At 42.3% G+C, this 25,097-nt stretch overlaps 1 long non-coding RNA gene across 2 annotated transcripts in view; it reads right to left on the bottom strand.

Annotated features, from left to right (window-relative positions):
* Positions 1 to 15,722: 15,722 nt before the first annotated feature.
* The window catches only part of PM20D1-AS1 (PM20D1 antisense RNA 1), a 34,009-nt gene continuing 24,634 nt past the window's right edge, over positions 15,723 to 25,097 (bottom strand). The window contains exons 1-3 of one of the 2 annotated variants that reach the window (NR_046098.1): positions 21,324 to 21,790; positions 20,501 to 20,654; positions 15,723 to 17,343 (exon numbers count right to left, since the gene is read on the bottom strand). This is a non-coding gene — a long non-coding RNA (PM20D1 antisense RNA 1). Of the gene's footprint in view, positions 17,643 to 20,500; positions 20,655 to 21,323; positions 21,791 to 25,097 lie in introns of those variants that run through there. The other variant, NR_046097.1, reaches the window with a different exon arrangement.

The raw sequence follows: 25,097 nt of genomic DNA, 5'->3' as shown, positions 1-25,097 counted from the left end.
CCCATAGTCCATTGATCAAGGATGGCCCTATGGGTATTAACTCTTCAACAAATGTAGGATGCATGGATATGCGTGCAGAGCAGTTCCCAAGGTGACCCATGCTAGGGCATCAATGACGCACCTGCAAGAAGGAAGAGGTATGGCATGGCTCCTGGGAGGGGCTGGCAGATAAGACCACCCAGAACCATTATTCCAACAGAGGCTTAGTAGGAGGGTTTTGAGTGGCACATAAGTAGCATCTGAATTGGGTACATTTCTTTAGCCTTTCATCTTCCAAACCCACTGTAACCTATGTAGTTGTCTAACTACAACATGGCATTAGTCGTATATTGAGGTAGTATAGAAGCATTTGTAAGACAGCCATCTCACCATTCTAGACTGGAATGGGGTAATTTTAAGACTGTGAATCCCTGAACATGCCCAAGAAGAGGTAAGCTAACCACCTGCCAGGGATGTTGTCAGAGGAGCTCCTGCTCTAGATGGTAGATCAAACAGGATGACACTAAGACCTTCTGTCTCTAAATTGCATAACATGAAAGCAGATTCTTTAGAATTATGCGAGTTACTTCTTACTTCCAGAGCTGGAAGTAAACACTTTTCCTTCAACAAAGATTTTTGTTTAAATAAGAGGTTTTTTTAAACAAACTTTTTACTTGGAAATAATTTCAAACGAATAAAAAGTTGCAAAACTAAAAGTATCACAGGAGGCTGGATGCAGTGACTCACACCTGTAATACCAGCACTTTGGGAGACCAAGGCAGGAAGATCATTTGAGGCCAGGAGTTTGAGACTAGCCTGAGCAACAAAAGGAGATCCCCACCCTTACCCCCCATTTCTACAAAGACAATTTAAAATTTTTAAAAATTAGCTGTGCACGATGGCACATGCCTATAGTCCTAGCTACCAGGAAGGCTGAGACAAGAGGATCACTTGAGTCCAGGGATTTGAGATTACAATGAGCTATGATCGCATCGCTGCACTCCAGCCTGGGCAACAGAGCAAGACCCTGTTTTCAAAAAGAAAAAAAAAATCACATAATAAACACTGTATGCTCTTTAATCTGGTTCACTTATGGTTAACATTTTACCCCATTTGCTTTATCATTTACTCTTTCATTGTCTCTCTTTTCTTTTTCTTTTTTTAGACAGTCTCACTCTTGTCGCCCAGGCTGGAGTGCAATGGTGTGACCTCAGCTCACTGCAACCTCTGCCTCCTGGGTTCAAGCGATTCTCCCTGCCTCAGCCTCCTGAATAGCTGGGATTACAGGCACCTGCCACCAGGCCTGGCTAATTTTTTTGTATTTTTAGTAGAGACAGGGCTTCACCATGTTGGCCAGGCTGGTCTCGAACTCCTGACCTCTGGTGATCTGCCCGCCTCGGCCTCCTAAAGTGCTGGGATTACAGGCATGAGCCACCACCACTGGCTTATGTCTCTTTTCTTTCTCTCTGTGGACATGCATAACTTTTTTCTGAGGCATTTGAGGATGAAGTCCTTTAACTTTAAATACTTCAGTGTGTATTTCCTGAGAGATAGTGTCTTACATAATCACAGTACAGTTATCAACTTAATGCATTTACATTGATCCAATACTTTTATCTAATCTACCATTCATATACCAATTTTGTCAGTTTATCTAATGAAGCATTTTTTCCTCTCCAGCACAGGATTTAATCTAAAGTCAGGTATTGAATTTATTTTCTTTTTTTCATTTATTTATTGAGACGGGGTCTCACTCCATCGCCCAGGCTGGAGCGCAGTGGAGCTATCACAGCTCAATGTAGCCTCAACCTCTGGGGCCAGGTGATCCTCCCACCTCACCCTCCCAGGTAGCTTGGACCATAGGTGCACACCACTACTCCTGGCTAATTTTTGGTATTTTTTGTAGAGATAGGATTTCTCCATGTTCCCCAAGCTGGTCTCAAACTCCTCAGCTCAAGCAATCCTCTTGCCTCGGCCTCCCAAAGTGCTGGGATTACAGGCATGAGCCACCATGCCCGGCCAGGTACTGAATTTAGTTGCATGTGTTTTAGTGTCCTGTTATCTGGAACGTGTCTACAACTCGTCTTTGTCTTTTACAGCATTGACATTTTTCTAAGATTGTGGTTCACCCACCCTTTCTTTGTATTCCTCATTTTGCATTTGTCTGATATTTCCTTATGATTATACTGAGGTTTTGCATTTTCTCCCAGAATACTCCATAGGAAATGCTCTGTCTTTTTCTGCCTAACACATCTGGAAGCACATAATGGCCACCAGTCTCTCATAGGTGAAATTAATTTTGATTACTCAGTTGGGGGTATTGCCTGATTTCTCCACTATATGATTACTGGGGTTGTTTTTTTTTTCTCCCTTGCAACTTATAGTTTGTGAGGACACACTTTAAGACCATGCAAATATTCTGCTGCTCATTAAAATTTCCCCTAGGTTAAGTATCCATTGACAATTCTTGTCTGATCCTATCAATACTACGATGATTGCAAAATGATGATTCTCCAATCCCAGCACACCCTCTACATTTACTAGTCCTAATAGGCATCCTACTATAACTAAGAACACTCGCTTCTCACCTTTTTCTACAATTTCCTCAAAATTGTATATGTATGTTTGTGTGCCTGTTTATGTGCACATGTATATGTATGAATATGTATATATGTGTGTATGTACATTTGTATGTACGGGTATGTAGCCCTGGGCCACATAACAATGTTTCAGTCAATGACAATCGCATATACAATGGGATCCCATAAGGTTATAGTTCTGTATTTTTATTGTACTTTTTGCTGTGTTTAGATACACAAATACTTAGCATTGTATTATAGTATGCAGTACAGTAACATGCTGTACAGGCTTCTAGCCTTGGAGCAATAGGCTATACCATGTAGTCAAGGTGTATAGTAGGCTATACCATGTAGTCAAGGTGTATAGTAGGCTATACCATCTAGGTTTGTGTAAGTACACTCTATGAGGTTCACACAATGACAAAATCACCTAAAGAGACTTTTCTCAGAATGTGTCTCCATTGTTAAGCAATGCATGAAGAGGGCCCTAACTAGACATCGAATCTGCCAGCAACTTGATCCTGGACTTCCCAGCCTCCAGAACAATGGTGTGTACATGGATATATTTCCTAGTGCTGACTGCTGAAAGTTCCAAGAAGTAATGACACCCAGTAAAAAGGAACAAATCTAGTACCCAGATTTCAGCTTCTAACACCATTCCTTTCTAAAAGGAGACAGAACTTCTTAAAAGAAATGGTTGATTCCAAGGCGGGGATAGGATTGGATACAAGATAAGTCTGGAACATATTTTTATACCAGAAAGCAAGGAATTGTTCCAAAAAATTGATGGGAGTATGTTACAAGGTCACAGGAACCAGATCAAAGTGGTCTCTACGTGCAATTTAAGCACCAAAATAATTAAATACAAGGATGAATTTTAAACCATTAAAAACAAGAATTGAGCTCATACCAACGATGATGAGAGAGAGAGAGAATTAGAAAGGCTTTCTAGTTGCTAGAGACTGTGTGTTTTGCCCCAAAATTCATATGTTGAAATCCTAACCCCCAAGGTGATGGTATTAAGGGCTTTTGGGAAGTGATTAGGTCATGAGGGTAGAGTCCTCATGAATGGGATTAGTGCCCTTATAAAAGAGACCCAGAGATATCTCACCCTCTGCCGTGTGAGGTTACAGTGAAATGACAGCTATCTATGGAAGAGGAAGAGGACTCTCACCAACATCAAATCTGCCAGCACCTTGATCTTGGAATTCCCAACATCCTTGGTTTCCCTTGATGTTGTCATCCCAACATCTGAGTTCTGGAAAGGTGTAGTGGCTACTGGCCCCCAGAGGAGGGCACACTGCAGAAGTGGCATGACAATGTGAGGAGTTCCACTGACCAGCTCCCCTGTGAAACTGGTGAAAATTACTAAAATAAAATAAAATAAAATAAAGCCTCGAGAAATAGTCCCAAGGGCAAACAGCAAATGAAGACACATCTATTCAAGAAAACCTATGAAAATTTAATAAGAAAGCAAAAGCTATAAGCCTAAAACATCTTTATGTTAGCCCCAAAGTACATCTATAATAGCCCCCAAGTACATCTTTATGTTCTAGGTGAGGATGGACCCTACAAGATATAGAGGAAGGTCAGTCCTTACTGCGGATAACTGAAACTGTGGGTTTCACTTTCCACAGTTTCAGTTACCCGCAGTCAACCCTGGTCTGAAAAATATTAAATGGAAAATTTCAGAAATACACAATTCATAAGTTTTAAATTGCATGCTGTTTTGGGTAGCATGATGAAATCTTGCACCATCCTGGTGTATGTTCTGCCTGGAATGTGAATCACCCCTTTGTCCAGCATATCCATGCTTATACACTATGTGCTCATTAGTCACTGAGTAGCATCTCAGTTATCAAATTAACTGTCACGGTATCACAGTGCTTGTGTTCAAGTAACCCCTATTTTACTTAGTAATAGCTCCAAAATAGGCCAGGCATAGTGGCTCATGCCTGTAATCCCAGCACTTTGGGAGGCTGAGGCAGGCGGATCATAAGGTCAAGAGATCAAGACCATCCTGGCCAACATGGTGAAACCTGGTCTCTACTAAAAATACGAAAATTAGCTGGGCGTGGTGGTGCACGGCTGTAGTCCCAGCTACTCAGGAGGCTGAGGCAGGAGAATTGCTTGAACTCAGGAGGCGGAGGTTGCGGTGAGCCCAGATCGTGCCACTGCACTCTAGCCTGGTGACAGAAGGAGACTACATCTCAAACAATAATAATAATAATAACAACAACCCCAAAGTACAAGCATTGTGATGCTGGTATATTGTTATAATTGGTCTATTTTATTATTAGTCGTTAATATATTACTATGCCTAATTTGTAAATTAAACTTTATCATAGGTATGTATAATATATACAGCAAAAAGGCCGGGCACGGTGGCTCACGCCTGTAATCCCAGCACCTTGGGAGGCTGAGGCGGGCGGATCACGAGATCCGGAGATCGAGACCATGCTGGCTAACACGGTGAAAACCCATCTCTACTAAAAATACAAAAAAAAAAAATTAGCCAGGCATGGTGGCAGGCGCCTGTAGTCCCAGCTACTCGGGAGGCTGAGGCAGGAGAATGACGTGAACCTGGGAGATGGAGCTTGCAGTGAGCCGAGATCACACCAGTGCACTCCAGCCTGGGCGACAGAGCGAGACTCCGTCTCAAAAAAATATGTATGTGTATATATATACATATATATACATATACATATATATATATGTATATATACATATATATATATACACATATATATATATATATACATATATATATATATACACACACACACATATATGCAGCAAAAAAATACTATAAACAAGGTTTTGTACTATACAAGGTTTCAGGCATCTATTGGGGGTAGATGGAATATGTTACCCACAGATAAGTGGGGGACCACTGTAGGTTTTTTTAATTTAAGAATATGGTATTTCTTCCCATTTGTTTAAGTCTTCTTTTGATAATTTCATAAGTGTTTCCATATACCTCTTACACACTTCTTTTTTTTGGAGACAGAATCTCGCTCTGTCGCCCAGGCTGGGGTGCAGTGGCGTGATCTCGGCTCACTGCAATCTCCATATCCCAGGTTCAAGCGATTCTCCTCTCTCAGCCTTCCGGAGTAGCTGGGACTACAGGCATGCACCACCATACCCAGCTAATTTTTGTATTTTTAGTAGAGACTGGGGTTTCATTATGTTGGGCAAGCTGGTCTCGAACTCCTGACCTCAAGTGATCTGTCCGCCTCAGCCTCCCAAAGTGTTGGGATTACAGGCGTGAGCCACCATGCCCAGCCAGCACTTACACATGTCTTAAGTTTAACCCTAAATGTTTTTTACTGCCTTTATAAATGGAATTTCTTTTATTGTATTTTCTAACTGGTTGTTGTTGTTTACATACATAAAGGCTATCAATTCTGTATATTAATTGTGCATCCAGATTACTTACTGAATTCTCTTACAATGTTAGTAGTTTTGCTTTTGATTGCTTCAGCTTTTTCAGCTATACATTCTGTCTGCAAATAATTATAACTGTACCTCCTTTCCAAATTTTATACCTATAATTTTTTCTCTTATCTAGTTGCCTTGACTAGTATCTGCAAAACAATGTTAAATAATAGTGAAGACAGTAGACATTCTTTATTATTATTATTACTATACATTAAGTTCTGGGGTACATGTGCACAACGTGCAGGGTTGTTACATAGGTATACATGTGCCATGTTGGTTGGCTGCCCCCATCAATTCGTCATTTATATTAGGTAGTTCTCCTAATGCTATCCCTCCCCCACCCCCCACCCCCCGACAGGTCCCAGTGTGTGATGTTCCCCTCCCTGTGTCCATGTGTTCTCATTGTTCAATTCCCACTTATGAGTGAGAACATGCAGTGTTTGGTTTTCTGTCCTTGTGATAGTTTGCTGAGAATGACGGTTTCCAGCTTCATCCATATCCCTACAAAGGACATGAACTCATCCTTTTTTATGGCTGCATAGTATTCCATGGTGTATATGTGCCACATTTTCTTTATCCACTATATTATTATGGACGTTTGGGTTGGTTCCAAGTCTTTGCTATTGTGAATAGTGCCACAATAAACATGCATGTGCATATGTCTTTATAGCAGCATGATTTATAATCCTTTGGGTATATACCCAGTAATGGGATTGCTGGGTCAAATGATGTTTCTAGTTCTACATCCTTGAGGAATCGCCACACTGTATTCCACAATGGTTGAACTAATTTACACTCCCACCAACAGTGTAAAAGCTTTTCTATTTCTCCACATCCTTTCCAGCATCTGTTGTTTCCTGACTTTTTAATGATCACCATTCTAACTGGCATGATGGTATCTCATTGTGGTTTTGATTTGCATTTCTCTAATGACCACTGATGAGCAGCATTTTTTCATATGTCTGTTGGATGCATAAATGTCTTCTTTTGAGAAGTGTCTGTTCATATCCTTTGCCCACTTTTTGATGGGGTTGTTTGTTTGTTTAAGTTCTTTGTAGATTCTGGATATTAGACCTTTGTCAGATGGATAGATTGCAAAAATTTTCTCCCATTCTGTAGGTTGCCTGTTCGCTCTGCTGATAGTTTCTTTTGCATGCAAAATCCCTTAGTTTAATTAGATCCCATTTATCTATTTTGGCTTTTGTTGCCATTGCTTTTGGTGTTTTAGTCATGAAGTCTTTGTCCATGCCTACATCCTGAATGGTATTGCCTAGGTTTTCTTCTAGGGTTTTTATGGTTTTAGGTCTTACATTTAAGTCTTTAACCCATCTTGAGTTAATTTTTGTGTAAGGTGTAAGGAAGGGATCCAGTTTCAGCTTTCTACATATGGCTAGCCAGTTTTCCCAGCACCATTTATTAAATAGAGAATCCTTTCCCAGTGCTTGCTTTTGTCAGGTTTGTCAAAGATCAGATGGTTGTAGATGTGTGGTGTTGTTTCTGAGGCCTCTGTTCTGTTCCATTGGTCTATATATCTGTTTTGGTACCAATACCATGCAGTTTTGGTTACTGCAGCCTTGAGGTATAGTTTGAAGTCAGGTAGCATGATGCCTCCAGCTTTGTTCTTTTTGCTTAGGATTGTTTTGGCTATGCAGGCCCTTTTTTGGCTCCATATGAACTTTAAAGTAGTTTTTTCCAATTCTGTGAAGATAGTCAGTGGTAGCTTGATGGGGATAGCACTGAATCTATAAATTACTTTGGGCAGTATGGCCATTTTCATAATAATGATTCTTCCTATCCATGAGCATGGAATGTTCTTCCACTTGTTTGTGTCCTCTTTTATTTCATTGAGCAATGGTTTGTAGTTCTCCTTGAAGAGTTCCTTCACATCCCTCGTAAGTTGGATTCCTAGGTATTTTATTATCTTTGTAGCAATTGTGAATGGGAGTTCACTCATGATTTGGCTGTTTGTCTGCTATTGGTGTATAGGAATGCTTGTGATTTTTGCACATTGATTTTGTATCCTGAGACTTTGCTGAAGTTGCTTATCAGCTTAAAGGAGATTTTGGGCTGAGACAATGTGGTTTTCTAAATATAAAATCATGTCGTCTGCAAAGAGAGACAATTTGACTTCCTCTTTTCCTAATTGAATACCTTTTATTTCTTTTTCCTGCCTGATTGTCCTGGCCAGAACTTCCAACATTATGTTGAATAGGAGTGGTGAGAGAGGGCATCCTTGTCATGTGCCAGTTTTCAAAGGGAATGCTTCCAGTTTTTGCCCATTCACTATGATATTGACTGTGAGTTTGTCATAAATAGCTCTTATTATTTTGAGATACATCCATCAATACCTAGTTTATTGAGAGTTTTTAGCATGCAGGGCTGTTGAATTTTGTCAAAGGCCTTTCCTGCATCTATTGAGATAATCATGTGGTTTTTGTCATTGGTTCTGTTTATGTGATGGATTACGTTTATTGATTTGGGTATGTTGAACCAGTCTTGCATCCCAGGGATGAAGCTGACTTGATCATGGTGGATAAGCTTTTTGAAGTGCTGCTGGATTCGGTTTGCCAGTATTTTATTGAGGATTTTTGCATTGATGTTCATCAGGGATATTGACCCAAAATTCTCTTTTTTTGTTGTGTCTCTGCCAGGCTTTGGTATCAGGATGATGCTGGCCTCATAAAACGAGTTAGGGAGGATTCCCTCTTTTTCTATTGATTGGAATAATTTCAGAAGGAATGGTACCAGCTCCTCTTTGTACCTCTGGTAGAATTCAGCTGTGAATCCATCTGGTCCTGGACTTTTTTTGGTTGGTAGGCTAATTATTGCCTCAATTTCAGAACCTGTTATTGGTCTATTCAGAGATTCGACTTCTTCCTGGTTTAGTCTTGGGAGGGTGTATGTGTCCAGGAATTTATCCATTTCTTCTAGATTTTCTAATTTATTTGCATAGAGATGTTTATAGTATTCTCTGATGGTAGTTTGTATTTCTGTGGGATTGGTGGTGATATCCCCTTTATCATTTTTTATTGCATCTATTTGAGTCTTCTCTCTTTTCTTCTTTATTAGTCTTGCTAGCATTCTATCTATTTTGTTCCCTTTTCAAAAAACCAGCTCCTGGATTCATTGATTTTTTGAAGGGATTTTTGTGTCTCTATCTCGTTCAGTTCTGCTCTGATCTTAGTTATTTCTTGTCTTCCGCTAGCTTTTGAATGTGTTTGCTCTTGCTTCTCCAGTTCTTTTAATTGTGATGCTAGGGTGTCAATTTTAGATCTTTCCTGCTTTCTCTTGTGGGCATTTAGTGCTATAAATTTCCCTCTACACGCTGCCTTAAATGTGTCCCAGAGATTCTGGTACATTGTGTCTTTGTTCTCATTGATTTCAAAGAACATCTTCATTTCTGCCTTCGTTTCGTTATTTACCCAGTAGTCATTCAGGAGCAAGCTGTTCAGTTTCCATGTAGTTGTGTGGTTTAGAGTGAGTTTCTTAATCCTGAGTTCTAATTTGATTGCACTGTGGTCTAAGAGACAGTTTGTTGTGATTTCTATTATTTTACATTTGCTGATGAGTGTTTTACTTCCAATTATGTGGTCAATTTTAGAATAAGTGTGAGGTGATGCTGAGAAGAATGTATATTCTGTTGATTTGGGGTGGAGAGTTCTGTAGATGTCTATTAGGTCTACTTGGTCCAGAGCTGAGTTCAAGTACTGGATATCCTTGCTAATTTTCCGTCTTGTTGATCTGTCTAATATTGACAGTGGAGTGTTAAAGTCTTCCATTATTATTGTGTGGGAGTCTAAGTCTCTTTGTAGGTCTCTAAGAACTTGCTTTATGAATCTGGGTGCTTCTGTATTGGGTGCATATATATTTAGGATAGTTAGCTCTTCTTGTTGAATTGATCCCTTTACCATTATGTAATGGTCCTCTTTGTCTCTTTTGATCTTTGTTGGTGTAAAGTCTGTTTTATCAGAGACTAGGATTGCAACTTCTGCTTTTATTTTTTCTTTTCTTTTGCTTGGCAGATCTTCCTCCATCCCTTTATTTTGAACCTACATGTGTCTTTGCACATGAGATGAGTCTCCTGAATATAGCACATCAATGGGTCTTGACTCTTTATCCAATTTGCCAGTCCGTGTCTTTTAATTGGGGCATTTAACCCATTTACATTTAAGGTTAATATTGTTATGTGTGAATTTGATCCTGTCATTATGATGCTAGCTGGTTATTTTGCCTGTTAATTGATGCAGTTTCTTCATAGCGTTGATGGTCTTTACAATTTGGCATGTTTTTGCAGTGACTGGTACCAGTTGCTCCTTTCCATGTTTAGTGCTTCCTTCAAGAGCTCTTGTAAGGCAGGCCTGGTGGTGACAAAAGCTCTCAGCATTTGCTTGTCTTTAAAGGATTTTATTTCTCCTTCACTTATGAAGCTTAGTTTGGCTGGATATGAAATTCTGGGTTGAAAATTCTTTTTTTTTTTATTTAACTTTAAGTTTTAGGGTACATGTGCACAACGTGCACATTAGTTACATATGAGAACGTTGAATATTGGCCCCCACTGTCTTCTGGCTTGAAAGGTTTCTGCAGAGAGATCCGCTGTTAGTCTGATGGGCTCCCCTTCGTGGGTAACCCAACCTTTCTCTCTGGCAGCCCTTAACATTTTTTCTTTCATTTCAACCTTGGTGAATCTGACTATTATGTGCCTTGGGGTTGCTCTTCTCGAGGAATATCTTTGTGATGTTCTCATATTTCCTGAATTTGAATGTTGGCCTGCCTTGCTAGGTTGGGGAAGTTCTCCTCGATAATATCCTGAAGAGTGTTTTCTCACTTGGTTCCATTCTCCCCATCACTTTCAGGTACACCAATCAAATGTAGATTTGGTCTTTTCACATAGTCCCATATTTCTTGGAGGCTTTCTTTCTTTTTATTCTTTTTTCTGTAATCTTGTCTTCCCACTTTATTTCATTAATTTGATCTTCAGTCACTTTCTTCCCTTTCTTCCGCTTGATCAAATCAGCTATTGAAGTTTGTGTATGCCTCATGAAGTTCTCATGCTGTGTTTTTCAGTTCCATCAGGTCATTTATGCTCTTCTCTACACTGGTTATTCTAGTTAGCCATTCCTCTAACCTTTTTTCAAGGTTTTTAGCTTCCTTGTGATGGGTTGGAACATGCTCCTTTAGCTCAGAGAAGTTTGTTATTACCCACTTTCTGAAGCCTACTTCTATCAACTCATCAAACTCATTCTCCATCCAGTTTTGTTCCCTTGCTGGCAAGGAGTTGTAATCCTTTGGAGGAGAAGAGGTGTTCTGGTTTTTGGAATTTTCAGCCTCTCTGTTCCGGTTTCCCCTCATCTTTGTGGTTTTATCTACCTTTGGTTTTTGATGTTGCTGACCTACGGATGGGGTTTTGGTGTGGATGTCCTTTTTGTTGATGTTGATGCTATTCCTTTCTGTTTGTTAGTTTTCCTTCTAACAGTCAGGTCTCTCAGCTGAAGGTCTGTTGGAGTTTGCTGGAGGTCCACTCCAGACTCTGTTTTTCTGGGTATCACCAGAGGAGGCTGCAAAACAGCAAATATTGCTGCCTGATACTTCCTCTGGAAGCTTCGTCCCAGAGGGGCGCCCACCAGATGCCAGCCAGAACTCTCCTGTATGAGGTGTCTGTTGGCCCCTACTGGGAGATGTCTCCCAGTCAGGCTACACAGCGGTCAGGGACCCACTTGAGGAGGCAGTCTGTCCCAGAGCTTGAATGCCATGCTGGGAGAACCACTGCTCTCTTCAGAGCTGTCAGGCAGGGACATTGAAGTCTGGAGAAGCTGTGCCCACAGCTGCCCCTTTCCCCAGGTGCTCTGTCCCAGGGGGATGAGGGTTTTAACTATAAGTCCCTGACTAGGGCTGCTGCCTTTTGTTCCGATATGCCCTGCCCACAGAGGTGGAATCTAGAGAGGCAGTTGGCCTTGCTGAGCTGTGGTGGGCTCTGCCCAGTTCAAGCTTCCTGGCAGCTTTGTTTATGCTGTGAGCATAAAACTGCCTACTCAAGCCTCAGCAATGGCAGACACCCCTCCCCCCACCAAGCTCCAGTGTCCCAGGTCAATCCCAGACCGCTGCGCTAGCAGCAAGAATATCAAGCCAATGGATCATAGATTGCTGGGCTCTGTGGTCATGGGACCTGCCAAGCCAGGCACCAGAGGGAATCTCCTGGTCTGCCAGTTGTGAAGACAATGGGAAAGGTGCAGTATTTGGGCAGAGTGTACTGTTCCTCCTGGTACAGTCTCTCACCGCTTCCCTTGATTAGGAAAGGGAAATCCCCTGACCCCTTGCACTTCCTGGGTGAGGTGACACCATGCCCTGCTTCGCTCTCCCTCTGTGGGCTGCACCCACTGTTCAACCAGTCCCAGTGAGATGAACCAGGTACCTAGGTTGGAAATGCAGAAATCACCCATCTTCTGTGTCGATCTCGCTGGGAGCTGCAGACAGGAGCTGTTCCTATTCGGCCATCTTGGAAGAGTTGACAGTAGACATTCTTATACCGTTTCCAACTTTATTATAAATGTATCTAGTTTTTCTGTGATTAAACATGATTCTTGTTTTGCATTGGGAAAAATATATATATTGTTATTTTGAGATTTTTATCAAGAATGGATGGACAGGGATCAACAACTGGCATGACAATGTGAGGAGTTCCACTGACCAGCTCCCCAGTGAAACTGGTGAAAATTATTAAAAAAAACACACACACACATTTAGGCCAGGTGTGGTGGCTCGTGCCTGTAATCCCACACTTTGGGAGGCTGAAGGGGGTGGATCACTTGAGGTCAGGAGTTCGAGACCAGCCTGTGCAACATGGTGAAACCTCTTCTCTACTAAAAATACAAAAATTGGCTGGCTGCAGTGGCTCACACCTGTAATCCCAACATTTTGGGAGGCTGAAGCAGGCAGATCACCTGAGGTCAGGAGTTCGAGACCAGCCTGACCAACATGGAGAAACCCCATCTCTACTAAAAATACAAAATTAGCCAGGCATGGTGGCACATGCCTGTAATCCCAGCAACTCAGGAGGCTGAGGCAGGAGAATCACTTGAACCTGGAAGGCAGAGTTGCAGTGAGCCAAGATTGCACCATTGCACTCCAGCCTGGGCAACAAAGTGAGACTCTGTCTGAAACAAAAAAAGGAAAGAAAAGGAAAGAAAACACACACACACACACACACACACACACACACACACACACACACAAAAAAACCTCTAGGAATGGTCCTAAGGGTAAACAGCAAGTGAAGAAACTTCTATTCAAGAAAATCAATGAAAATTTAGTAAGAAAGCAAAAGCTATTAACCTTTTAGAAGAAAACACAGAGGTATCTTCGTGATCTTAAATTTGGCAAAGAATTCCTAGATATAACTCCAAAAGCATGAGCAACGAAAGAAAAAAATAGGCAAATTGGACTTCATCAAAATTTAAAACTTTTGAGCAAGATGGCTGACTAGAGATGCCTGGTGCTAGTCTTCCCCACAAGAAAGGACCATGGCAATAAATAAATAGCTAAGACTTGACTAGATTGTTGAAGGAAGAGCACTGGAGTACAGTGAGGAAGTGGAGATGCACATGTGGTGATTGGAAGTACAGGAGGGCAACATGGAGGCACCTGCCCTTTATAGCCCCATTTCCCTCACCAGGATCAGATCAGCCCAGATATGGGAAGGATTTCCCACTGCAAGGAATAGGTAAGCAGAAGATTCCCACTAGATACATGGCCACCACAAATACCTACTGTCCGTACTATAGGAGAATGTCACAGTCCTCACAAGTCCTAGGCCCAGTTTGGAGAGCTACCAGGAATTCACGTAGCTGCCTTGCCCTAGATTAGGAGCACAAAGTATACACTCCCCACACTCCACCCACTCCCTGTGAGCCAAGCTGCTGTGGCATGGTACAATATTGAGACCATAGCCACTTCTGCAGTGTGCCCTTCTCTGGGGACCAGTAGCCACTACACCCTTCCAGTACACAGATGGCTGAAGGCTCCAACCCCAGAGAGCCAGACCCCATGTTGGCTGACCCACTGTGCACACACACATGCTTCCAACCTGAGAAACAGAAACAGCCAGGTGAGCTCACCCCTCACAAAGCCACACCATCATCACCACAAATTCTCTCAGCTTAGGCTACTGGGAAACTTGCAGACACCACTAGTGTGGACTATAGCTGAAGAAACTACATGGAGATTGCACTACTGCATCCACCTAGAACCAAGGCAAATGCACCCCACAGTACTGACATCCCAAGACTCATTCATACAAATAAACTTTTCTCCTGAAAACCTATTCCATAAAAATAGAAAAGATGACTTTTCCACCAGATATGTAGAAACCAATGTAGAAATACATCAACCATGAAAATGAAAGGAAACATGTCACCTTCAACAGAAAACAGTAATTCTCCAGTAACAGTAATCATAGGAAATATAAGAAATGCCAGAAAGAAAAACAATTAAAAATAAAAATCTTAAAGAAACTTGATGAGGCCAGGCACAGTAGCTCATGCCTCTAATCCCAGTACTTTGAGAAGCCAGGATGGAAGGATGACTTGAGGGCAGGGATTTGAGATCAGCCTGGGCAACACAGGAAGACCATATCGCTACAAAAATAAATAAATAATTAGCTGGGCATGGTGACACACAGCTATATTCCTAGCTACTGTGGAGGCTGAGGCAAGAGGATTGCTTGAGCCCAAGAGTTTGAGGTTATAGTGGGCTACAATCACACCACTGAACTCTAGCCTGGGCAAGAAGGTGAGGCCCTGTCTCAAAAACAACAGTGACAAAAAAAATTCATTGAGATACAAAAGAACACAAATAGACAATTCAACAAAATCAGAAAAACATTTCATAATTTGAATGAGAAATTCAACAACAACAAAAAAGATAGTATTAAAAAAACAGCAGAAATCTCAGAGCTGAAGAATTTAATGAATTAAATAAAAATTTAGTCATACACTAGACCAAGCATATTAAATAATTTCTGAACTGGAAGACATGTGTTTTGAAATAAGACAGGAAAGAAGGAAGGAAGAAAGGAAGGAAGGAAGGAAAGAAGGAAGGAAGGAAGGGAGGGGAGGGGGAGGGAGGGGAGGGAAGGAGGGAAGGAGGAAGGAAAGAAGAAAGAAAGAGAGAAAGAAAAAGAAAGGAAGGAAGAAAGAAAGAAAAGAAAGAAAGAAAGGAAGAAAGGGAGAAAAAGAAACAAAGAAAGAAAGAGAGAGGGAGGGAGGAAAAGAAAAAAGGAAGGAAGGAAGCAAGGAAGGAAGGAAGGAAGAAATACTCCAGGGATGGCCAGGTGTAGTGTTTCATGCCTGTAATCTCAGCACTTTGGAAGGCCAAGGCAGGAAGATGACGAGTGCAGGAATGTGAGACCAGCCTGGGCAACATAGTGAGACTCTGTCTCTAAGGGAAAAAAAATTAAAGTAGCCAGACATGGTGGCACAGGCCTGTGGTCCTAGCTATTCAGGAGGCTGAGATGGGAGGATTACTTGAGTCTGGGAGATCAAGACTGCAGCAAGCCATGAATACACTACAGCACACCAGCCTGGATGAAAGAGCAAGATCCTATCAAAAAAGAAAAAAAAAACCCTCTAGGGAGGCCTATATCCAGAAGTGAGAAGTGCAAAGACCAGCTCGGTCGGGGAGACCCTAACCCAGTGGTGCTAAAGGAATTAAAGACAGACACACAGAAATACAGAGGTGTGAAGTGGGAAATCCGGGGTCTCACAGCCTTCAGAGCTGAGAGCCTCCAACAGAGATTTACCCACGTTATTTATTAACAGCAAGCCAGTCATTAGCATTCTTTCTATACATATTAGATTAATTAAAAGTATCCCTTATGGGAAACGAAGGGATGGGCTGAAATAAAGGGATGGGTTGGGCTAGTTATCTGCAGCAGTAGCACAGCCTTAAGGCACAGATCACTCATGCTATTGTTTGTGGTTTAAGAATGCCTTTAAGTGGTTTTCCACCCTGGGTGGGCCAGGTGTTCCTTGCTCTCATTCTGGTAAACCCACAACCTTCCAGCGTGGGCATTAAGACCATCATGAACATGTCAGTGCTGCAGAGATTTTGTTTATGGCCAGTTTTGGGACCAGTTTATGGCCAGATTTTGGGGGGGGGGGTGCTGTTCCCAATATGTCCCCCTTATTTGATTTGCAAATCGATAAAAGCAAAGGCAGCTTTGACACTGTGAGCTACTTCTCACAGGAGTCAGGATCCACATCTGCACACTATACAAAGACAAACAATACCGATTAAAAGCACAATCATCATTGAAATCACAGAGCTTCCAAGTGTTTTTATCCATTTTAATGGGTTACTAGCTGCTAATCTGTCTGCAGCTCCTTCAAGCACTCCAGTTTCTGTCATTAAGGTCAGGTGTACCTGGGATGCTTTAAATATTTGTTCTTTTAATTTTGTAATATCCAAAGACAAGTTTGTAGAGTGTCTTTCTAGATGCTTTTTTTATTCTTTCCCAAATTTTGATCTTATTAAGAGCTATTAATAGTTTCCACAAATCCTTATGTTTAGCTCCTACAATGAGCCATATCATTTGAGGTTGAGGTGACACTATACTGCCATGGTTCCAGACAATAGGAACTTTTGCCATACTTCTTATCATTTCTGCCATCTGACCACTTTGTTCAGACCATCTGAACTAGTGTGGCCATGGCATGCAGACTGAGAGGTGCAATTTAAGCTAAACATCCCCTTAGGGGACCAATCAATGATCCCATAGGAATCATTGCGTAGCATCTCTGCCTGTTCTGCAATGCAATCTTACTAAACAAGTTGTTCATTATTTCTGGCCAGGTTCTATTTTGTTTACAAATAGGTTTTTGAGGGTGGTATGCCTCAATTATAGGAGCAGATTTATTATGGTAAATACTGAGATCAGAAAGCATGTGTAACTGTGCCATAGAGTGAAATCATCTAGGCATTATTGCCAGACAAGATTGATAAATATGCCCAATAAGTATAATTGTTCTCTGTGTCAGCCCTTGTTGAAGGAATACTCATGGCAATGGTGATCATCACTGTGATAGATCACCAAATTACTCATTGTGATTGGTTGTCCCGCTTTCCTCAGGTTTTCTTCCATCATCTGTGACAGCTTCTTGATTTGTCCCCAGGTGGATGGCTGTGTTCGACGGGTGTTGCTCATGACAGTTGGGGTCCTCCTCAGTGTCAGCCTCGACGTGGCTGCAACCAGGGGGTCCTCAGGATCCTCCTGGAATCTCTTCCTCAGCATCTGGCTCATGATAAGGTTTCAGGTGTCTTGATGGTATCCAAATTGGTTATTGATTTTGGCCTGGAGAAACACAAACATAACCTCTACCCCAAGTTATTATTTTACCTATTTCCCAACTTTTTGTTATCGGATCTCTCCACCAAACCAGTTGTTCTGCTTCTGTCTTTGCAGCCGGTTTCTGTAAATGCTGTTCAGCTGCTGATAACATCTGGCCTTTAGGCAGACTCAAAAAATTTAAAGTTAATAATGCTAGATTCAATTGTATATGGGCTGTCCCATAATCCCTCTTTCTCCCCCTTTGTTGTTTTTGTCTTCAGTTGTTCATCTGTATGAAATCGTAACTGAGCATTTTCAATTAACTGTGTGGAAAGAACCATATATGAAGAATCAGAAATCACATTAACAGGCATATCAAAAGCAGTCAATACCTCAATTACAGCTACAAGCTCCACTTTTTGAGCTGAAGTATAGGGCATCTGGAAAACTTTACTTTTTGAGCCAGAATAAGAAGTTTTACCATTACTAGACCCATCTGTAAAACAATGAAAATGCTTAGCAGGCTGCAGGTTGTTTACTGCAAGAATTGTAAATGCAAACCATTCACAGTCTTGCTCAGCCAAAGGGATAGTAAAGAAACAGTCTTTCAAATCTATGACTATTAAAGGCCAATTTTTTGGAATTATAGCAGGAGAAGGCAATCCTGGCTGTAATGCTCCCATAGGTTGTATAACTGAATTGATGGCTCTTAAGTCAGTTAACATTTTCTATTTACCTGAATTTTTCTTAATTATGAAAACTGGAGAATCCCAAGCAGAAAATGTTGGGGCTATGTGCCCATTTTCTAATTGAACTAATTTCTCTAAAGCCTCCAGTTTCTCTTTACTTAGCAGCCATTGTTCTATCCAAATTGGCTTATCTGTTAACCATTTTAAAGGTATAGGTTCTGGAGGCTTAACAATGGCTGCCATCAAAAATGATATCCTAAGCCTTGGCAGGAATTTTGTCTTTCCACTTGCAGTGGTTCTTTCAAAACTCGCAAATTTTTTCCTAGTCCAATACCAGGAACATACCCCATTATATGCATCATATGTTGACTTTGAGGGCTATATAATTGTTCTGGAATTAGAACTTGTACTCCCCATTGTTGTAATAAATCCCTTCCTCAGAAATTTATGGGTACAGAAGTTATAATTGGTTGAATAGTCCCAGGTTGTCCATCAGGCCCTTCACAATGCAAAATATAGCTACTTTGATATACTTCAGGGACTTTACCAACTCCAACTATTGGAGTTGAATTGAGTGGGTTGAATTGGCCATGCAGACGGCCAGTGCTGTAGAGAAAATGTCCACTCCTGTATCTACCAAACCTTTAAATTTATTTCCCTGAATAGTTATTTCACAGGTAGGATGTGTATCAGTAATTTGATTTACCCAATAAGCTGCTTTGCCTTGTTTATTTGTGCTTCCAAATCCTCCTGTTCATTTAATTTCACTTTTTCCCATTCCCACATATGACACAATCAGGAGCTGTGCTATGCACTCTCCTGGCTCTGCTTTCCAGGGAACAGAAGTAGATATAACAATTTGAATTTCCCCATTGTAATCTGAATCAATGACTCTTGTATGTATTTGTACCCCTTTTAAATTTAAACTAGAACTGCCTAGAACTAATCCTATTGTCCCTGCTGGCAAGGGACCACAGACTCCTGTTGGGACCTTTTGCAGGGGTTCCCCAGGCAGAAGACTCAGCATAAATCTACTGCAGCATAAATCTAGTGTGGCTCTACCAGCTGTGGTGGGGGACAGGCATTGTACAGGGGTGAGGGAATGACCCGAGCTGGAAATGCCCCAGTTTGGAATGGGGCCCAGGATGGGCCCCTCATGGCTTTTCCTGAAATCAGGTTCCCATCTTTATCAAACTTAGAGTGATTAGCCCAGTGTTTTCCTTTTTTACATTTTGGACATATTTCAGGCTCAGCAGTTTTCTTTTTTCCCCTATCTGGTGGCCCGACTTGCTGATTTTTTTCTACTTTTTTTTTTTTCAGTATGACCATGCTTCCCACAGTTAAAACAAGCTCCAGGAAATGGAGTACTTTCTGTATCCACTCTCAGTCCTGCCATTGCCCGTGCTAGCAGGTGGCCTGATGCAGATTACCTCTGATACCACCACAGGCCTTGATATAATCAACTAAATGTGCTTTCCCTCTGATAGGTCACAGAGCAGCCTGGCAATCAGGATTAGCATTGTTGAAAGCTAATAATTGCAACACTATATCCTGAGCAGCCAAATCTGCAGTCATCTTTTTAAGAGACTCCTGTAACTGAGCTATAAAATCCACATATGATTCTTCTGGTCCCTGTTTTATAGCACTAAAGAAAGGGTATTGTTCTCCACTTGAAGTGATTTTTTTTCCCCAAGCTCTAATGCACGCTCCTCTAAGCTGTTCTATGGCATCATCCTGCATGACCATTTGTGCATCTAAACCAGCCCAACTGCCAACCCCCAAAAGTTGGTCTGCAGTTATATTAATTTGAGGTTGGTCCTGCGTGTTGTGAGAAGCCTGAATGGAAGCTTCATCTGCCCACCAAGTTTTAAATTGTAAGAACTAAGCAGGAGTTAGACAAGCTTGAGTAAGAGCGTCCCAGTCAGTAGGAATCATCTGACTGGAAACAGCAATGTTCTTTAATAGTCCCATTACAAAAGGAGAACCTGGTCCATACTGATTAATAGCTTGTTTAAATTCTTTGAGTAATTTAAAACAAAAAGGCTCAAATGTAGCTACAATATTTCCCTGTTGGTCTGGGCAGTGTAGTCTAACAGGGAACTGCCAAGCCTCTTAATCACCTTCTCATCTAGCTTGCTGAATTCCTGACTGAATAGAACTAAGAGCAGTCGCTCGAGGTGCTGCTTGAACAGTCACTGGGGCAACTAATTTTTGCCCACTGTCCTCTGGAAAAGAAAGATCTGGAGGGTCAGGCCACTCTTTTTCTTCAAAATAATAATGAGGGGGTGCAGAAGGGTAGGGATGAACCTCTCCCTCCTTTGCCACTTTAGCTTTAGCTGGCAAATAAACCTGCTCTATAACCTCTTCTGTTACTTCATTATACTCTCCTTCTTCCTCATCATCAGTGTGAAAAAGTTCCAAGATGGAACGAACCAGACCCCACACTTGTCCCATTGTTACCCTGATGCTTCTGAGCTCCCCTTCTTACTCACCACGGGGTTTGCTTTAAGAGTACTCAGGTGTCCTCCAGCTAGTTCCATGTTCTCCAACCATCACTCTGGTGACCCTTCAACCTGGATTCGAGCCCCCATGATGGAGACCACTTGCTGAGACCAGCTTGGTCGGGGAGACTCTAACCCAGTGGCACTAGAGGAATTAAAGACACAGAAATATAGAGGAGTGAAGTAGGAAATCAAGGGTCTCACAGCCTTCAGAGCTGAGAGCCTCCAACAGAGGTTTACCCATGTATTTATTAACAGCAAGCTAGTCATTAGCATTCTTTCTATAGATATTAGATTAACTAAAATTATTCCTTATGGGAAATGAAGAGATGGGCTGAAATAAAGGGATGGGTTGGACTAGCTATCTGCAGCAGGAGCATGGCCTTAAGGCACAGATCACTCATGCTATTGTTTGTGGTTTAAGAATGCCTTTAAGCGGTTTTCCACCCTGGGTGGGCCAGGTGTTCCTTGCCCTCATTCTGGTAAACCCACAACCTTCCAGCGTGGGCGTTAAGACCATCATGTACATGTCACAGTGCTGCAGAGATTTTGTTTATGGCCAGTTTTGGGGCCAGTTTATGGCCAGGTTTTGGGGGGCCTGTTCCCCACAGAGAAGATGATAACCAGCATCATAAAAATATGTGAAACTATAAAAACTCACTGGTAAAGCTAACACATAGGGAGAAAGAGATAAGACTCAAATCTTATCCCTACAGAAAACTGCCCAACCACAAAAGTAAACAGTAAGAGAGGAAGGAACAAAGGATATACAAAACAAGCAGAAAATAATAGAATGCTAGATGTAAGTACTCACCTATCAAGAATAACGTTGCATGTAAATAGATTGAATTTTCCCATTTAAAAGATATAGACTGGGCTGACTCTCTTTTTGGACTCAACTCGTCTGCACCCAGGTGAAATAAACAGCCTTGTTGCTCACACAAAGCTTGTTTGGTGGTCTCTTCACATGGATGCATGACACATTTGGTGCCAAAGACCCAGGTCAGCAGGACTCCTTCAGGAGACTGTCCCCTGTCCTCACCCTCACTCCATGAAGAGATCCACCTACGACCTTTGGTCCTCAGACCAACCAGCCCAAGGAACATCTCACAAATTTTAAATCGGGTAAGTGGCCTCTTTTTACTCTCTTCTCCAACCTTTCTCACTATCCCTCAACCTCTTTCTCCTTTCATTCTTGGTGCCACCCTTCACTCCCTCTCTTCTCTTAATTTCAATTCCTTTCATTTTCTAGTAGAGACAAAGGAGACACATTTTATCCATGGACCCAAAACTCTGGTGCTGGTCATGTACTCAGGAAGGCAGCCTTCCCTTAGTGTTTAATCATTCCGGGGATGCCTGCCTGATTATTCACCCACATTCCATTGGCGTCTGATATCTTCAGGGATGCCTGCCTTGGTCATTCAACCACATTCCCTTGGTGGCAAGTCAATTGCGGGGATGCCTGCTTTGGCTGCTCACCCACATTGCAGCCCAGGGCTGCTCCCCAACCCTTTCTCCATGTCTCTACCTTTCTCTTTAAACTTGCCTCCTTCACTATGGGCAAACTTCCACCCTCCATTCCTCCTTCTTCTCCCTTAGCCTGTGTTCTCAAGAACTTAAAATTTCTTCAACTATCACCTGAACTAAAATCTAAATGTCTTATTTTCTTCTGCAACACTGCTTGGCCCCAATACAAACTCGACAATGGTTCTAAATGGCCAGAAAATGGCACTTTTGATTTCTCCATCCTCCGAGACCTAGATAATTTTTGTTGAAAAATGGGCAAATGGTCTGAGGTGCCTGACATCCAGGCCTTCTAATACACATTGGTCCCTCCCTAGTCTCTGTGCCCAATGCAACTCATCCCAAATCTTTCTTCTTTAGCTCCTGTCTGTTCCTTCAGTCTCCACCCCAAACTCTGAGTCCTTTGAATCCTTCTTTTCTACAGACTGATCTGACCTCTCCCCTTCTCCCCAGGCTGCTCCTCGCCAGGCCAAGCTAGGACCCAATTCTTCCTCAGCCTCTGCTCCCCCACCCTATAATCTTTCTATCACTTCCCCTCCTCACACCCAATCTGGCTTACAGTTTCGTTCTGCAACTAGCCCTCCCCCACCTGCCCAACAATTTCCTGTTAAAGAGGTGGCTGGAGCTAAAGGCATAGTCAAGGTTAATGCTCCTTTTTTTCTTTATCCGACCTCTCCCAAATCAGTTTTTAACATCAAATATAAAAACTCAGCCCAGTTCATGGCCCATTTGGCAACAACCCTTAGACGCTTTACTGCCCTAGACCCAGAGGGGCCAGAAGGCTATCTTATTCTCTATGCATTTTATTACCCAATCTGCTGCTGACATTAGAAAAAGCTCCAAAAATTAGATTCTGGCCCTCAAACCCCACAACAGGACTTAATTAACTGCACCTTCAAGGTGTATGATAATAGAGAAGAGTTGCAATTACTTGCCTCTGCTGTGAGAGAAACCCCAGCCATATCTCCAGCACACAAAAACTTCAAAATGCCTAAGCCACAGCAGCCAGGCATCCCTTCAGGACTTCCTCCCCCAGGATCTTGCTTTAAGTGCTGGAAGTCTGGCCACTGGGCCAAGGAATGCCTGCAGCCTGGGATTCCTCCTAAGCTGTGTCCCATCTGTGCGGGACCCCACTGGAAATTGGACTGTCCAACTGGCCCAAGGCTCTGACTGTCTCCTTCCCAGGTCTTCTTGGCTTAGTGGCTGAACACTGACACTGCCAATCACCTCAGAAGCCCCCTGAACTGTCACGGATGCCGAGTTTTGGGTAACTTACAGTGGAGGGTAAGTCTGTCCCCTTCTTAATCAATACAGAGGCTACCAACTCCACACTACCTTCTTTTCAAGGGCCTGTTCCCTTGCCTCCATAACTGTTGTGCGTATTGATGGCCAGGCTTCTAAACATCTTAAAACTCCCCAACTCTGGTGCCAACTTGGACAATATTCTTTAATGTACTCCTTTTTAGTTATCCCCACCTGCCCAGCTCCCTTATTAGGTCAAGACATTTTAACTAAATTGTCTGCTTCCCTGACTATTCCTAGGCTACAGCCACACCTCATTGCTGCCCTTTTCCCCAGTTCAAAACCTCCTTCACATCCTCCCTTGTTATCTCCCCACCTTAATCCACAAGTGTGGGATACCTCTACTCCCTCACTGGCAACTGATCACACACCCATTACTATCCCATTAAACATAATCACCCTTATCATGCCAATATCCCATCCCACAGCACACTTAAAGGATTAAAGCCTGTTATCACTCACCTGTTACAGCATGGCCTTTTAAAGCCTATAAACTCTCCTTACAATTCCCTCATTTTACCTGTCCAAAAACCAGACAAGCCTTACAGGTTAGTTCAGGATCTGTGCCTTATCGACCAAATTGTCTTGCCTATCCACTCCATGGTGCCAAAACCATATACTCTCCTATCCTCAATGCCTCCCTCCACAACTCCTCCATAACCCATTATTCTGTTCTAGATCTCAAATATGCTTTCTTTACTATTCCTTTGCACCTTTCATTCCAGCCTCTCTTCACTTTCACTTGGACTGACCCTGACACCCATCAGCCTCAGCAACTTACCAGGGCTGTACTGCCACAAGGCTTCATGGACAGCCCCCATTACTTCAGTCAAGCCCAAATTTCTTCCTCATCCATTACCTATCTCAGCATAATTCTTCATGAAAACAACGTGCTCCCCCAGCTGATCATGTCCAGCCAATCTCCCAAACCCCAACCCCTTCTACAAAATAACAACTTCTTCCCTTCCTAGGCATGGTTAGGTACTTCCACCTTTGGATACCTAGTTTTACCATCCTGACTAAACCATTATATAAACTCACAAAAGGAAACCTAGCTGACCCCATAGATCCTAAATCCTTTTGCCACTTCCCTTTCCGTTCCTTAAAAACAGCCCTAGAAGCTGCCCCCACACTAGCTCTCTCTAACTCATCCCAACCCTTTTCGTTACACACAGCCAAAGTACAGGACTGTGCGGTCAAAATTCTTACACAAGAGCCAGGACCACACCCTGTAGGCTTTTTGTCCAAACAACCTGACCTTACTGTTTTAGGCTGGCCATCATGTCTCCATGCAGCAGCTGCTGGTGCCCTAATACTTTTAGAGACCCTCAAAATCACAAACTATGCTCAACTCACCCTCTACAGTTCTCATAACTTCCAAAATCTATTTTCTTCCTCATACCTGACACATATACTTTCTGCTCCCTGGCCCCTTCAGCTGTACTCACTCTTTGTTGAGTCCCCGACAGTTACCATTGTTCCTGGCCTGGACTTCAGTCTGGCCTCCCACATTATTCCTGATACCACAACTGTCCCCCATGACTGTATCTCTCTGATCCACCTGACATTCACTCCATTTCCCCGTATTTCCTTCTTTCGTGTTCCTCACCCTGATCACACTTGGTTTATTGATGGCAGTTCCACCAGGCCTAATCTCCACTCACCAGCAAAGGAAGGCTATGCTAGAGTATCTTCCACATCTATCATTGAGGCTACCACTCTGCACCCCTCCACTACCTCTCAGCAAGCTGAACTCATTGCC

Source organism: Homo sapiens, chromosome 1 (genome assembly GCF_000001405.40).
Source record: "Homo sapiens chromosome 1, GRCh38.p14 Primary Assembly".
NCBI classification, from domain to species: domain Eukaryota; kingdom Metazoa; phylum Chordata; class Mammalia; order Primates; family Hominidae; genus Homo; species Homo sapiens.
Note: the sequence above shows the minus strand (reverse complement) of the source record. Positions and strands in the feature narration are given on the sequence as shown.